Raw genomic sequence first — 17308 nt, forward strand, 5'->3', positions numbered from 1 at the left:
GGATCTGCATTCCGCCTTTTTTTTTTTTTTTTTTTTTTTGAGATGGAGTCTTGCTCTGTCGCCCAGGCTGGAGTGCAGTGGCATGATCTCGGCTCACTGTAACCTCTGCCTTCCAGGTTCAACCAGTTCTCCTGCCTCAAGCCTCCCGAGTAGCTGGGACTACAGGCGCACACCACCACGCCCGGCTAATTGTTTGTATTTTAGTAGATATGGGGTTTCACTGTGTTGCCCATTCTGGTCTCGAACTCCTGAGCTCAGGCAATCCGCCTACCTCGGCCTTCCAAAGTGCTAGGATTACAGGCATGAGCCACTGCGCCCGGCCTGCATTTCTCCTTTTTTGAAATTTGAGCATGTGTTTATTTCTATTTATTTGATTTCTGGTCTTCTGGCACCTTGTCAAGGTAGCTTAGATAATTTGTGGTAGTTTTTAAGGCAGATGTAAAAGTTTTTTCAGCATCATGGAGTGTGAGTTATTTGGATCAGAAAGCATATTCTTTTGAACTAGCTCTGTATTCTGTTACTGTCCCCTACCCATGCCACTTACCTTAGAAGCTGGTTTCCTTTTATCAGATTTCTGACCTCCCTAGCTTGAAGATCATGCTTCTTGATGAAGATGAAGCATAGGGAATTGGCCCTGTTGTCTCTTGATATTGCATCTTCCCTAAGCAATGGGCCTTTGGTTTATCTCTTCTTGTTCTCAACAAGACTTTTTTGTTTGTTTGTTTGTTTGTTTGAGACAGGATCTCATTCCTGTCGCCCAGGCTGGCGTGTAGTGACGCAATCTCAGCTTACTGCAGCCTCAGCTTCTTGGGCTCAGGTGATTCTCAGCCTCCTCAGTAGTTCAGACTACAGGTGCGTGCCACCACACTCGGCTAATTTTTTGTGTTTTTAGTAGAGACAGGGCTTCGCCATGATGCCCAGGCTGGAACAAGACTTCTTTTGTTGTCCTCTTGCCCCAGTTCTCCACTTATTCTGGACTTTAGACTTATTGAGATTAAAAGAAAAACTTCGATTTTATATCTTTTTTATTTATGCTTATTTTTTTTTAAAGCTAACTTAACAGAAAGTTCCCAGTTATCCAAAGAGAAAAAAAGCTTGGAAATACATGACATATGTGAAGAAAGATAAACTTGAATTTAGGAGACCAGGTAACCTTAGACTGACTGACTTTGTTTTTCATTTGTGAAATGAAGATGATGATGGTCCTTTTTGGCTCTGGGATATTTGAGAAGAACAAATGAGACTAACCATGTGGGGCATTTCTAGCTTAGGGAATATGGTTAAAGAGGTAGAAGAACATACTGAGAGACCAGTAAGTGGCATTTCGTGATAGATATAAGGTAGAGAATTTGAAATGGGTTTTAACTAGAAGTGGGTCCTCTGGATTATTATATGGTGGTAGGAATGGTATTAATGGACGATATAAATGTCAGATTATGAGAAGTGCCTTATTTGTGGCAATTCAGGATTCTTGGGAATAAAAGTGAGTTTTTCTAATTAATGGGGAATCTCGGGCAGGGCTTTTATCTTCTAGATCCCTGTTGTGTAAAATGTGGATGGATAATAATTAATTTAGCAAACCTTGATTGAATACTGCGTAGTGTAATCTAATATACTGGATGTTAAGGGAAATATATGAGAAGGCTTCCCTGCTTTCAAGGGCCTTATAATCTTATAGAGGTGGTTAGCCTCTTACAGATATATATAGTGGAAGTTTCTGTTTACCACATCTGGGCTTGCTTCCCTACAGCAGTCCCCATCAATAAGCATTTATTGAGCACGAACAAGATAGGATTTTTTAAAAGGGGTACAGTTAAGTGGATTTATATATATTCACAAAATTGTACGACTGTCACCACTCTCTAATTCCAGAAAATTTTCATCACCCCCAAAAGAAACCTCATAGCTATTAACAGTCATTCCACATTCCTCGCCTCCCCAGTCCCTGGTTACTACTAATCTACTCTCTATGGATTTGCCTATTCTAGATATGCATGCAAATGGGATCATATGAGGTGTGTTCTTTTGTGTCTGGCTTCTTTCCCTTAGCATAATGTTTTCAATGTGCATCCATGTTGTAGTGTGTATCAGAACTTCATTCCTTTTTATGGCCAAATAATATTCCATTGTATGGATAAACCACATTTTGCATATCCATTTCTCTACTGATGGATATTTGAGTTGTTTTTACTTTTTGGCTGTTATGAATAATGCTGCTGTAACATTCATGGACAAGTTTTTTGTGGACACATGTTTTCAGTTCTGTTGTGTATGTATCTAGGAGTGGAATTGCTTGGTCATATGGTAACTCTGTGTTTCACATTTTGAGGAATTACCAAACGGTTTTCCAAAGTGGCTGCACCATTTTACATTTCTACCAGCAATGTTTGAAGATCCTAATTTCTCCAGCATCTTCTCCAACACTTGTTATTGTCTGTCTGTTTGATTTTGGCCATCCTAGTGGGTGTGAAGTTATGTATCAATGTCGTTTTTATTTGTATTTTCCTAATGGCTATTGATATTAAGCATCTTTTAATGAATGTATTGGCTATCTGTATATCTTCTTTGGAGAAATGTCTATTCAGATCCTTTGCTGGGCTTGATTTTGACATCTTGGAGTAATCATTCCCTTAGTAAATCATACTAATCAGTTCCCACAGCAAGCACAGAGATGCTCAAATGCTAAGTTGGCTCTCGTTTGTCATTTGATTTTTCTGCTTACTAAGCAAGAGTCAGTTGTATTTGTTTTCAAACTTATTTATACCAGTGGTAATTATGAGTATAATTTAATAAATATTACTCAAATCGATGAAATATGAATACAAAAAGTTGTTTTTATGAAATGCTTTGAAAAGACTTGATAAAGACAAGAAGCTGAAAGAATTGCCTCTGAACGAATTAAATTATGGTTAAGACAACTGAAACAGAGTGGAGAAACCCTGTAAACTTTTGGAAGGATTTCCCAGAAAACACTGCAAGTATTTTTAAGCCCCTGTTCTACTTAAAGGAAAGGAAAATGGACATTGTAGATCTAATGGATTATGGGTGTGATTTATCTAAGGAAGTGGGGAACTGTGTTTGGCAGACTTACACTCAAAAAAAAGGTCTTGGTGCTACATTGGGAAATGAATGTATAATTATGTATTTAAGACTAAAATGGCTAAAATAGATATCATTTTAAATGGTTTCTGCCTTAACTGACTTTTTTGGTTAATAGATCAATGATCACTCTTGTATATGTTTGAAAAGAGGATTTCCACTGTACAAGGTGCCCTGAGGAAGATACAGATGTGGTGTCATGGGAATGTGTAATTCTGATTTGTAGGAATCAAAACTGGTTTCATGGAGTAAGTGGCACTCAAGCTGGGCTGTATGGGGAGAGTAGAATATCACCTAGAAACAACAGACGCACTTTTGCCTGAGGCCTTTGCTGTTGATGTTCCTTTGGCTTGGAATCTTCTTGTCCCAGTTCCTACAGTTGTTTGCTCTAATGTCACCTTCAGTGGTGCCTTAAATTACAGCCTTCTCCACCTTCCATCCACAATGTCTCTCTCATATCCTAATCTTCCTTCGTGCTTTTTCTTGCTCTAGGACACCTTTTCCTGTGTGACATACTATACGTTTTACTTGTTTTCTGTCTCTGTATGTAGCTCTATGAAGGCAGAGATTTTTATCTGTTTCGTTTACCACTGTATTGACAGTGCCCAGATTGGTGTCTGGTACGAAGTTAGGTTCCCATTACATATTTATTTGTGGAATAGATTAATGGCTGAATGAACATAGAAGCTGAACATAGATGAATGAACATAGAATACCTCTTAGGAAGGGTATTCTAGGCTGAAGGAATAGCTTTAGGAAAGGCACAAAGGTGGAAAAGAGAAGGGAGTCTTTTCGAAATACTAAATTGCGGGGATTAAGGCAGGAGATTATGCCACCACATTAAGGTCTTCAAGGCCCATCTGAAGTTTTGGCATTTGGTTCAAAGACATCAAGAAGCTTTTAAAGGGTTTGAGTGACATTATGGTTTTAGAAAACAAAGTCTGAAATTGGTGAAGATGGAATGGAGAAGGGAAGAGCCTGGCGGTACGATGAAAGATAATGGTAGAAATGGGAAGAATTGAGAGGACTTGTTTAGCCTGCACAGGTTTTTTGTTTATTTATTTATTTATTTTTATTTTTAATTGTTGTTGTTTTTTGAGACGGAGTCTAGCTCTGTCACCGGGCTGGAGTGCAGTGGCATGATCTCAGCTCAGTGCAACCTCCGCCTCCCAGGTTCAAGCGATTCTCCTGCCTTAGCCTCCTGAGTTGCTGGTACTGCAGGCGCATACCACTACGCCCAGCTAATTTTTGTATTTTTAGTAAAGACGGGGTTTCACCGTGTTGGCTAGGATGGTCTCGGTCTCCTTGTGATGTGCCTGCCTTGGCCTCCCAAAGTGCTGGAATTACAGGCGTGAGCCACTGCGCCCAGCCTAGCCTGCACAGTTTTTTAAAAAAGTTACATTGGTTGTTAGCCATTAAAAATCTGGAGGTTTCACTTGGCAATCTATTTTTCTGCCGACTCTTCTTCTTCTTCTTTTCTTTTCTTTCTTTCTTTCTTTTCTTTTTTTTTTGGAGACAGTATCTTGCTCTGTTGCCCAGGCTGGAGTGCAGCGGCTTGATCTTTGCTCACTGCAACCTCCACCTCCCAGGTTCAAGCGATTCTCCTGCCTCAACCTCCAGAGTAGCTGGGATTACAGGTGCACGCCACCACGCCTGGCTAATTTTTGAATTTTTAGTAGAGACGGGTTTTCACCATATTGGCCAGGCTGGTCTTGAACTCCTGACCTCAAGTAATCTGCCCGCCTCGGCCTCCCAAAGTGCTGGGATTACAGGCGTGAGCCACCACTCTGGCCTGCATTCTCTTCTAAACTTGGAGGTACTGTCAGCATTGGGCTTTTATTTCCACATTGCAAAAATCAGTCAGTGCTGTCTAGTGAGGCATGAGCTCTTTACTTTGCCCAGTCCTCAACCAGCCAGCCTCTTTTATTGATCTTTTTCTGCCTAAACTTCTGGATCTTCTGCTAGAGATGGTGGGGTGAGTTGTGATGCTCTTAATTTGAGATGGAGAGCCTGTTTGGAGGAGAGTCAAATTGGTGTACATTCCCTCATTCCTGTTATTCACAATTATATGTTTGGATGGGAGACCTTATTTCTCCAGTGCCTAGGTGTTTTGGTCTGAACTCCTCTCCTGCCTGTACTCCTTGTAACTTCCACTGTATTGTTCTTCTTTTTAACTCTTTCCTTGAATCCACTTCCTCCTTTGTATTTGAAACCTACCCTGCTATCTCTGATTATACCATTGTCCTTGAATCACTCTCTGATGTTTTTATGTCTATTTTTTTTTCTTAATTTTATCCCTTAAACTTTCCCTTTTGTCTCTTTCTAAATTCTTTAGGTGGATATAGATCATTATGTTTCTTTAACTCCATTGTCATTTATGATAAAATTTCTCTCATTGTTGTGAAACACATGAATTTATATATGTTACAGATGGGTTTTTTCATGATTTTGCGTTATGGTCTAAGAATGTGTCATATGGAATCTCTGGGTTTTCATATTAAAACTAGGTGCGTCCAGGCACAGTGGCTCATGCCTGTGATCCCAGCACTTTGGGAGCCCGAGGCGGGTGGATCACCTGAGGTCAGGAGTTGGAGACCAGCCTGGCCAACATGATGAAAACTCGTCTCTATTAAAAATACAAAAATTAGCCGGGCATGGTGGCGCATGCCTGTAATCCCAGCTACTCAGGAGTTTGAGGCAGGAGAATCGCTTGAACCTGGGAGGTGGAGGTTGCAGTGAGCCGAGATCGCACCGTTGCACTCCAGCCTGGGCAACAAGAGAGAAACAACATCTCAAAAAACAAACAAACAAACAAACAAACAAACAAGGTGTGTCATTGTATTCTAGTATGAAAACAAATTTTGTGAAAGATTCTTCTATCCAGAAGAGTTATTTCCTTGACTTCTCAGTCTCCATGTTATATTAACTATTATTTTTACTTAAGTTTACTTTATTTTCATGTAATTTCAAACTTAGAAAAATGTTGTAATAGTACACCCAGATTCCCCAATTAAGATTTTACCACATTTGCTTTAAGTCTCTCTTTGTGTATCTACTCTTTCTCTCTCTATCGTCTGTCTGTCTGTTTTTTTTTTCCCCTGAACTTGGCTCTGTCAAGTTGGCCCCTACCAAAGGGAGAGGGTTAATTTATGTTTTAGTTCCATACTTTAAATTTTTTGTTTTGTCATCTCCTCTTAATTAAATAGTTAAACTTCCACTTATAATGATAGGTTTATTTTTCACAGTTTTTCAGTTTTTCTTATATTTTTGTTATTCTATGTAGGACATATACATTGAACATTATTTTGTATCATAATTTGTTGTACTTTTTACCTTTGTATAGAGTAGATTTCAAGTATCTCTTGAAGTTATCATAGGACCCAACCTTTTCTGAATTTGTGTTTATATTTTAGTTTTTAGGTGTTGGGATTTGTCTCCCAATAGAGTTATAGATCATTCTGCTTTCAGTGGCATTCAACTCATTTACATTAAATTAAGTAATTGATATCTGTGCTACCCTCCATCATCATCTTTTTTCTAAATTGCACAATCCAGTGTTTTCGACTATAGTCACAAGGTTGTGGAACATTTTCATCTCCTCCAAAAGGAACTTTACATTTTTTTTTTTTTTTGAGATGGAGTCTCTCTCTGTTGCCCAGGCTGGAGTGCAATGGTGCGATCTTGGCTCACCGCAACCTCTGCCTCCTGGGTTCAAGCGATTCTCCCTGCCTCAGACTCTCGAATAGCTGGGATTATAAGCGCCCGCCACCATGCCTGGCTAATTTTTTTGTTTTTAGTAGAGGCGGGGTTTTACTGTGTTGTCCAGGCTGGTCTTGAACTCCTGACCTCAGGTGATCCGCCTGCCTTGGCCTCCCAAAGTGTTGGGATTACAGGTGTGAGCCGCCGCGCCTGGCCAAGGAACTTTACATTCTTTAGCAGTCACTCCCCAATCCCCACCTCTCCTCATCCAGCCCTAGGCAACCACTGACGTACTTTTTTTTTTTTTTTTTGAAACAGTCTCTATCCTCCAGGCTAGAGGACAGTGGTGTGATCTTGGCGCCCTGCAACCTCCGCCTCCCCGGTTCAAGAGATTCTCATACCTCGGCATGAGATTCAGGTGCCTGTCACTGCGCCTGGCTAATTTTGTATTTTTAGTAGAGACGGAGTTTCACTGCGTTGGCCAGGCTGGTCTCAAACTCCTGACCTCAAGTGATCTGCCTGCCTCGGCCTCCTAAAATGTTGGGATTACAGGCATGAGCTACCAACCCTGGCCATGATTTACTATCTTTTGCTGTAGATTTGTCTATTCTGGACATTTCATATAAATGGAATCATACAATATGACCTTTTATAATTGGCTTCTTTCTCTTAGCATGATGTTTTTAAGGTTAATCCATGTTGTAGGATGTATCAGAATTTCATTCCTTTTTTTTGACTGAATAATATTTCATTGTCTCGATAATACCACATTTTGTTTATCCATTCAGTATCCATTCATCTGTTGATAGACATTTTTTTGTTTTTACTTTTTGACTATTATGAATAATGCCACCATGGATATTCATGTACAAGTTTTTGTGTAAATACATTGTTTCATATCTCTTGGGTGTATGTATTCCACCTAGGAGTGGAATTCCTGGGTCACGTGGTGACTCCATGTTTAACATTTTGAAGATTTGCCAAACTGCTGTCCATGTAAAACTCTATGTTTAACATTTGAGGATTTGCCAAACTATTGTAAATGGTTGCAGCATTTCACATTTTCATCAGCTATGTGTGAACATTCCATTTTCCACATCCTCACCAACCTTTGTTATTGTCTTCTTTGTTATAACCAACCATCTTCATTTAAGTTCCTATTTGTTATCCTTCATTTTCCCTATATATGTGGTTTCTTTAATGGAATTTAAATTCTCAATTTCTTTTAAGCTGGATTGGGAGATAACTTCAACCTATTTATCCCCCTTCATTTTTTACATTGTTAGAAACATTGTCTTAACTTAACTATTTTCTTTATTCATATAATTCTATTATTAGCTTCTTGAGCATTTAGGGGCTTGGCATACTTCTCATGTACTTGGAAATTCTATACTTAAATCTGAAAATTCTCTCCGTATATGCTTTTAGTTTATTAGGTAACTTAATTTATTGTAATTCCTTTGCTACTATTCAAATTCATCTATTTTTTAAAAAGTATCATGTATTTTCCATGGCTCAGCAGCCTTGTCATTTTTTCAGAAGTCATTTAAGGTTCTAAAGTTCTTAACGTATTCTTGTACCTTTAAAAACTTTGGCAGGTTATTATATTTTCAACCACAGCTCAATTTCTCTCTCTCTTTTTTTTTTTTTGCAAATATTCTGAGTCTGTCTTTTCCATGGATTAAAAAAGGGAAAAAACCCACACCTTTTTTCTTTGTTATAAGAGCAGTATATAATCTGTGTAGAAAATTTGAGGAATATGGAAAAATATGAAGAGGAAATCTGGGATAATTGCCATTCTCTTCTTTAATCTCAGTGTTTATGCTAAATTATTTCATTTTTCATCAGAAAATTTTTGAACTTGAGTTTTGCTCTTTTTGCCCAGGCTGGAGTGCAATGACGTGATCTCGGCTTACTGCAACCTCTGCATCCCAGGTTCAAGTAATTCTCCTGCTTCAGCCTCCTGAGTAGCTGGGATTACCGGCGCGTGCCACCATGCCCAGCTAATTTTGTATTTTTAGTAAAGATGGGGTTTCACCATATTGGCCAGGCTGGTCTTGAACCCCTGACCTCAGATAATTGGTCCGCCTCGGGCTCCCAACGTGTTGGGATTACAGGCGTGAGCCACAGCACCCGGCCTGAACTTTTAAAAAAATATTCATGTTGTTTTGCTTTGCATTTTCTGTTTATGCTGGAGCCACTGTTGTTCAGAGGTCAGATCTCCTTCTGGGATGTTTTATTTTTATTTTTTGAGACAATGTCTCCCTCTGTTGTCAAAGCTGGAGTGCAGTGGCATGATGGCTTACTGCAGCCTTGACCTTCCAGGCTCAATTGATCCTCCTACCTCAGCCTCCTGAGTAGCTGAGACCACAGACGTGTGCCACCATATCCAGCTAATTTTTAAAAATTATCTTTTGTAGTTACGGAGTCTCTCTATGTTGCCCAGGCTGGTCTCGAACTCCTGGGCTCAAGTGATACTCCCGCCTCAGCCTCTCAAAGTACAAGCATGAACCACTGTGCCTGGCTAGGAATTTTTAAGTTCAGTTTATTTTTGCCTTGTCAGCTTTCATTTAATATTGTTTTGCACGTGAAACTAAACTGCTGATGTTGCTGTATCAATTCTGTTGTTTATAGCCCAGTTGATATATTTAGATTCTTTATTGTTCACAAGTCAGCTCAATCTTTTAGTGTCCTGTATTCATTTTCTATAGCTTTTTTTCTTCTTTCTCTTTATTTTATTTTTTAAAAAATTTTTAATTTTTATTTATTAGTATTTTTTGAGGCAGGGTCTCACTCTGTCAGCCAGGTTGGAGTACAGTATCACTATCTTGGCTCACTGCAACCTCTACCTCCTGGGTTCAAGCAATTCTTGTGCCTCAGCCACCTGAGTAGCTGGAATTACAGCTGCCCACCACCATACCTGGCTAATTTTCTTCTGTATTTTTAGTACAGATGGGGTTTCACCATGTTTGCTAGGCTGGTCTCGAATCCCTGGCCTCAGGTGATCTGCCTGCCTTGGTTTCCCAAAGTGCTGGGATTACAGGCTTAAGCCACTGCGCCCAGCCTCCTTCTCTCTCTAAAGTGGTTTGAGGTGTTTTCTAGGTGGTACACTTGTGTTTACCATTGTTTACTTCAAGGTTATACCATAAGCACATCCTAATTCCCATTTATTTAGACCTAGTTTTAAAAAAATTATTCAATGTTTTACAACAAAATTTGTCGGGGTTTCTGGTTATGGTAGTGTCTTTTTAAGTTTGTTTTTGGTGGTTTCAGCCAGAGTAACAGTCAGTTTTCTTCATAGTTTGCAGTGTTCTTTTATAAGGATCTCTTATAACCATTGGAATCCTATAAGGGATTATTATACTCCTTTTTTTTTTTTTAAATTCTAGGAAACTGGGATTCTCAGATTTAGCACTTGGTCAAGATCATATAGTTACTTTTACTTAATCAAATAATTGGAACCCCAAGTCTGGAACTCTTTCTAATGCACCAGAATTTTGTGAAGTCTTTAAAAAATTATCTTTTAAAATCATTAATACCAGGTTTTTCAGTGCCAGTATGCAAGTTGCTGTGTAGATTTTCATCTTTGTGGGTGATTTCCCTGGGTTCTGGCTACCTCCTATTCTACTTAGTGTTGCAGACACTAAGGGATAGTGGTTAGAAATAGAACCAGAGGACATTGTTCTTGTGTTTAGATTAATTATTGATTTAAAAAACAGTTTAATGAAGGAAATGTATTGAGTATACCTGCAAAATCTTATATATGTAAACCGGCATATGTTTCAAAATAATGGGATTATAACTGTATGTATAGTTTTACAATGTGTTTTTTTTCACAATAGGTCTTAGTTGTCTTTTCATATCACTACATGTGTTTCTACCAAAGTCTGTGTAGTATTATGTCAATAATTTAATTCCCAAAAGATAGACATTTAGATTGTTTTCTACTTTGGTTTTACAGAAAGTGCTGACGTTAACAATCTTGGACATAGGTTTTTGTATGTTTTTCTTTTATATCTGTTATAGTTTCCTGGAAATGTTGGGTAAAAGGATAAAGACAATTAAAATGGCAATGCATATGGACACATGAGAGGTTGTGCCACTATGTACTTCCACAGTTGGTTTGAGTGCTCATTTTTCTATACTTTCTCCAGAACTGGTGCTAATAAAAAACAATAGTAGCTTACACTTAATAGAGTACTTATTATGTGTATTATTATTTTGCTCTAAGTGCTTTCCATATCTTTAATCCTCCGTCAGAATTTTGAGATAGGTGCTGTTATTGTCCCCATTTTGTAGATGAAGAAATGGAGGCATAGGTGGTAAATTACTAAGCTCACACAGCTGTGATAAGTGGTAGAGCCGGGATGCTGGACAAGGTGGTCTGATGCCAGGGTGTCCCTCTTAAAAAACATATTATAATGCCTGTTTTTAATTTTTTTATTTCAATTTTTCCAAAATTTAAGCAGCATGATTTATATGATTTAAAAATTATTTCTATTTTTTATTGAGATAATTTTCATAATGTAAAATTCAGCATGTTAAAGTATACAATTCAGTGGTTTTCGTACATTTACTATATTGTGCAGTGATCATCACTATCTACCATCTAATTATAGAACATTTCTATCACCCCAGAAAGTTTCTACCTGTTAACAGTCAGTCCCACTACTCCACACCCCCATCCCCTGGTAACCACATAGAGACTTTCTCTGTGGATTTATTTATTTTGGATATTTCATATAAATGGAATAATACAATGTGTAGCCTTTTGTGCCTGAGTTATTTCTTTTAACATAATATTTTCTTTTCCTTTTTCTTTTTTTTGGAGATAAGATCTCTGTTCCCAGGCTGGAGTGTGGTGGTGCAATCATGGCTCACTGCAGCCTTGACCTCCGGCTCGTGATTCTCCTATGTCAGTCCCCCAGTAGCTGAGACTACAGGCATGTGCCACCACGCCTGGCAGATTTTTGCATGGGGGTTTCACCATGTTGCCCAGACTGATCTCAAACTCCTGGGCTCAAGCAATCCTCCTGCCTTGGCCTCCCAAAGTGTTGGGATTACAGGCGTGAGGCACTGCACCCTGCCTACATAATTTTCAAGGTTCTTATATACTGTAGCATGTAATTGTTTTATTTGATTTTAAAAGTAATACAAGTTTGTTGTAAAACTCAATTCAGAAAAATACAGAATAATGAAGAAAGCTTAAATTCTACCGAGAGATAACTGTGGTTCCTATTTTGGTGGGTATACCTTCCAGGTTTTTAAAATAGGCATTAAAAAAAGTTTGTGTTACATACATTTTAAAAAGCCTGACTTTAAATGTGTCATGTCAGGAAATGTAGAGATTTTTCATCATTAATTTTAATAACCGCACCATAACAGATTCAGTTTATGGTTTGCCAGGCTAGTGTCAGAACCCCAGAGATCAGAAACATCCATGAGGAAGAGAGTGTCACAGCTCTGAGATCTTTGGCTAGGATTGGCGAGGCCTGGAAAGACCCTGGGAGACTTAACCACTCAACTCTGTACCCAGGCCTTTTCTTCCATCTGATCTTACAGTAGTTTTTCTCCCTGTCACCTTGCCTGGAGAGTCCTGATACAGGCATTTAGAATTAAAGTAGGCAGCGGGGGAAGATTGCAGGAGTGGGGGTGGAGGATTGACAGGAGCAATGTGGTTTAACAAAGGGTAGTTGGCAGTAGTATGCAAAATGGAATGAAAAATATTGGAGTCAGACGATTGTGTGGCATATGTGAAATTTCTTTCGTTAAGTATAGCTTAGAGAAGTTTTAGCCATCTCTGCAGTTGATGCTTTTTAATATTAATGTAAACTGCTTTTGGTTTTGTATCATAAAATATTAGGTAAAGTTTCTTTTTCCTCCTCATATCTTTATACTAGAAGATAACTAATATGATTAGTAAACAAGTTGAAGAGGATTTAATTTCTAATTTTTCTGATTTCCTGGGACTTGAAGTCAACATTTGCTAAATCTATTGCTTGATTTTATACCCTGAAATGTATTTTCAGTGATTTGTGTCATTAGAGGTGCCCCTCAGATTGGTTGGGAGTTGAAGTCATATCTGGGAAAAGAAAAAAAGTGAATATTTGTTGTATAACTACTTGTTTTAGGCACGATTGCTTTTGAATACATTATCTAATCATTACAATATCAAAGGAAAGTATTATTCTAAAAGGAGAACTACCACGTGAACTTGGCCCTTCCTGATATCTAAACTTATGCTTCGTCTGTGGTATAGCAAACTGTCTCTGGGGTTGTCTTTGAAATCACATTGAGGTTTTTTTTTTTTTCCCCATTAAATAATAACCAATATAGAAACTTGAAAAGGGGAGAAATCACTCATTGTTTAACTGCTGTAACAGGTTACTGTTACCGGTTTTGTTTATTCCTGGCTGGATTATCTTATATGTATGGTGTGTGTGTGTGTGTGTGTGTGTGTGTGTGTGTGTATGTGTGTATGTGTGTATGTGTGTGTTTGAAATGAGTTTCACTATATTGTCCCGGCTGATCTTCAACTCCTGGTCCTTCTGCTTCAGCCTCCAAAGTAGCTGGGACTACAGGCCTGCATCACAGTGCCTGGCAGGTTTTTCATATAAAATCATAGTCTGTGTATATAGTTTTGTGGTCTGCATTTTCACTTTAACATTAATAAGCTTATTTCCATATTCTATAATATACATCTTTAAATAGCTTTATAATATTCCATAGTTGTACCACACCATTTCCTGGTGTGCAATATTTCAAATATTTAAATATTTTAAATGTTTCTGCTATTTTCAGTATAGAGATCATGGAATTGTTTTGTAGGCAGTTGGGTACATGTTCAAGAACAAACTGGCCTTGTTCTGGGAGTGAAACCATCCAGCAGGGTCCTGTCAGATTGGATTGGTTTGCTTTTCTGAAAAAGGGCAGATTTCTCCAAATACTACTAACATCTAGACAGTCAGTATAAACTCATGACAAATTTTTTTAAAGGACAAGGTGAAAAGTTTGAACATATTCTGTGGGGAGTCAATACAGAATCCAGTAGAGATGAATTAAAGTTTTCCACATGTTAATAAGGCCTTAGGGAACATTAATTTATAGGACTTTCCCCAGCAGTGCTCTGAAGACTGGAAATAGCACTAGCAAAAACAGATGACATGGCTTTAATATGGTTGGGAAAACCAGGTTTGAAGACTCGAAGTGGTGGGTGTGAATGTGAATACTGCCAGAGAATGAACAAAATGAGATGACACATGGGATGGTTGAAGGCAGAACATTTACTATACAGTAGGGATCCTTTTGTCTTGGTCCCATAAGAATCTGGTAGTTATTTGGTTAATTGAGAAAGTTATTTAAAGTAGGGAGTCACAAAAATGATTCATAAGTGCATGTAACATTTTATTTTAACATACACATATTTATTAAATATTTTGAAAGAGGGCCTATAATTTTTCTTTGAGAATAGTTTCTTTCCTTTTTTTTTTTTTTTTGAGACAGAGTCTCGCTCTGTAGCCCAGGCTGGAGTGCAGTGGCACGATCTTACTCACTGCTACCTCTGCCTCCTGGGTCGCAGTTCAAGCAATTCTCCTGCCTCAGCCTCCCGAGTAGCTGGGATTACAGGCTCGTGCCACCACGCCCAGCTAATTTTTGTATTTTTAGTAGAGACGGGGTTTCATCACGTTGGCCAGGCTGGTCTTGAACTCTTGACCTCATGATCTGCCCGCCTTGGCCTCCCAAAGTGCTGGGATTGCAGGCGTGAGCCACCGCACCTGGCCTCCTCTTTCTTGAACAAACCACTTGTATAATGCATTGATAACAAACTCCAGTTTTAATCCCTTTAAAAAGGAAGCTAAAGACTTGTGGATGCAGAATTCTAAATGCAACTGTAGGTTTTTTTTAAAAAGTAGCTCACCTTATTCAAGTCTTTGAGTTTAGTTTTCATAGAAGTAATTTATTTTCACTCATATGAAATGTTGAAATCACATAATTGTAGTAACAACTACATAGGCTGGGTAGCTGACTCTTGAAGCACAAGAACAGCTACCTTGGTTGGAGCTAAAGTGCTCATGGATGTTCTAGAGAGGGCCTAGTAGCCTTGAGAATTCATTGTGCCATAGGCATTGCTCTGTAGGTTTTATAGAGAATGACACACTTTGGTTAATCTGGAGAGTTGATTAAGTTGGAGATAAGTTCTAAGAGTGTTATTGACACGGACTGGGCAGTAGGAGAAGGAAAAAGGAGTGGGTAAATGAAAAGAGGTCAGAAAATTGGGGGGATAATGAAGACTGTTTGGTTACAAGGGGAGGCCAGAAGTGTCAACTGCTCTAGAAGGGTCAAGAAAAGGATTGGAGGATTTAAGAAAAAAGCCACTGGATCTGAGGTTGCTTTGACCTTGAAGAAGAAGAGTTGCTATAGGAAGAAGGAGGAAGTGAGGCCTGCTGGAGGTTAAGGTACTATTAAAGGTGGGGGATTTAACATAAACTTGGAATCAATATATTTAGGTTCCTCTACTGAAATGGAGAATAGCTGTGGCAGTATGTTGAGATCTTTTGAGATTGCCGATTATTTGACTAATTTTCCTTGTAGTGATTGTGTCAGAGAATTAGATGTAAAGTGTTTGCTTTCCCTTTACTGTAGTTTTCAACTGGGGACAGTTTTGCCCCCTTCCCCCCTCTCCCCCCCACAGGATGTGGTTGCTTATGTCCAGACAATTTTGGTTGTCAGAGCTGGTGTGGTCCTACTGGCATCTAGTGGGCAGAGGCCAGGACTGTTGCTAAACAACCTCCAGTGTACAGGATATTCCCTACAACAAAGAATTATCTGGTTCCAAATGTCAATAGTGCCCAGACTGAGAAACCCTGAGTTCTGTTGTAACATCTAATGAAGTTTATTTCCTTTTGGCTCTCCGTGAGTGTTAGCTAACTCATAAGATCCCCAAAACTACCTTTCTTTTTAACGGAAGGGTGGTAGAAAAGTCGTATCATTCTGGAAGGCTGCTGGATCTCATTTTGAATCAGAGCCTGAACCTAGTTGTTGCTGCCAGAAGTTGGGAATTTGGGCAGCTCAGGTTCATAGAAAGCAGAGTTTCTCCCACTAGTGTGTATTGTTTCTGAGCTTTGAAATGTTAATGAAATTCTCGAGACAAGTTTTACATTTTGAGAATTGTGGGGCAGATTTGCAACAAGAGCAAAATATTTTGTTCTGAGCAACTCTTGTGAGTACTTCTTTGTGTAAAACATTTCTATTTGGAGAATTCATTTTTGAGGGCCTTAGTAATGGCTCATCCGTTTTACTGAATTTCCATTTTGGTTTCAGGAAGGCAGGTGGGTAATCATCATAATCATTGACAGGTAGTAGAATGTCCTCTTGATGCCTGGTACTGTACAGAATACTTGAAAACAAAGAACATTCAGAAGATGATCCCAAAATAGATTCCTTCTGTATTGGGTTTAAGCTAAGGCAGTGATTCTGTTCTCAAATTTGTTAGAAATCAGCTGGGTGTGGTGGCTCATGCCTCTAATCCTAGCACTTTGGGAGGCTGAGGTGGGCAGATGGCTTGAGCCCAAGAATTCAAGATCAGCCTGGGCAACATGGTGAACCCCATCTCTACAAAAAATACAAAAATTAGCTGGGCATGGTGGTCCACACCTGTGTTCCCCCAGCTACTCAGAAGGCTGAGGCCCAGCTATTTGGGAAGCTAAGGTGGGATAATCGCTTGAGCCCAGGAGGCAGAGGTTGCAGTGAGCCGTGTTCACACCACTGCACTCCAGCCTGGGAAACAGAGTGAGACCTTGTCTCAAAAAAAAAAAAAAAAAAAAAAAAGTAAGGTGTCAGAGCACCAGCAAGTCATGATTCTCTTGATAAATTTTATCATGTGGTCTCTGATGTAGCACAAAATTTTTTAAGACCATTGCTTAGAAATATTTATCTTATTAAATTTACACACAATCATTCTATTGGAATTATGTTTGCATGTATCAATGGTGTGACCAGTGGTGGCTTATATGATAAGGGCTTTTTAAAAAATGTATTCATTTATATACATTATTTTCTATAATGGTAAGTCTGGAAAGAGGAAATCCACAGGCGGTGTGGTGATTTTATGATTCCTCCATCTTACTGTCTTGCTCCTGGTCTTTCTGGTCTGTCATCTTTTGGCTGCTGCAACTTTAGGCAACAGGTTTGCTCTCCAGTCAAGGAAAAAAACAGAGGAAGAATGAAGGAGGAAGGGACAGTGCCTACATATGAACACAGAGCGAGGGAGGCCAAGAAATGTAGGTTATTTAGTTGGGTACTTTGTTTCCCTGAACAAAATTGGAGTTCTCTAAGTAAGAAGGGGAGAATAGATCCAAGGTAGGCAATTAGCAGTGACTGCTGCAACTACAAAACAATTTAAAATGTCCATTCATGAGCTTGTGACATTCATGACCTGACCTGTGTTCTCATGAAACATTGTTGGAATATTTGTATTAGTATTCCTTACCTATTTGTTGAACATACTTTT

At 38.8% G+C, this 17308-nt stretch overlaps 2 protein-coding genes across 2 annotated transcripts in view, besides 1 other annotated feature; both read left to right on the forward strand.

The window, feature by feature from the left end:
- Nucleotides 1–17308, forward strand: part of MSANTD3-TMEFF1 (MSANTD3-TMEFF1 readthrough) — a 135731-nt gene that overhangs the window by 35699 nt on the left and 82724 nt on the right. The window lies entirely within an intron of this gene.
- The window catches only part of TMEFF1 (transmembrane protein with EGF like and two follistatin like domains 1), a 104488-nt gene that overhangs the window by 4456 nt on the left and 82724 nt on the right, over nt 1–17308 (forward strand). The window lies entirely within an intron of this gene.
- Nucleotides 14361–14861: an enhancer, noted in NCBI's record as "H3K4me1 hESC enhancer chr9:103254247-103254747 (GRCh37/hg19 assembly coordinates)". NCBI's record gives its function as "activates a minimal SCP1, AML or CMV promoter by ChIP-STARR-seq in naive H9 embryonic stem cells {active_cell/tissue: H9 hESC(naive)}" and the evidence as "EXISTENCE:reporter gene assay evidence [ECO:0000049][PMID:30033119]".

The sequence above is a fragment of the Homo sapiens genome, chromosome 9, assembly GCF_000001405.40.
Source record: "Homo sapiens chromosome 9, GRCh38.p14 Primary Assembly".
NCBI classification, from domain to species: domain Eukaryota; kingdom Metazoa; phylum Chordata; class Mammalia; order Primates; family Hominidae; genus Homo; species Homo sapiens.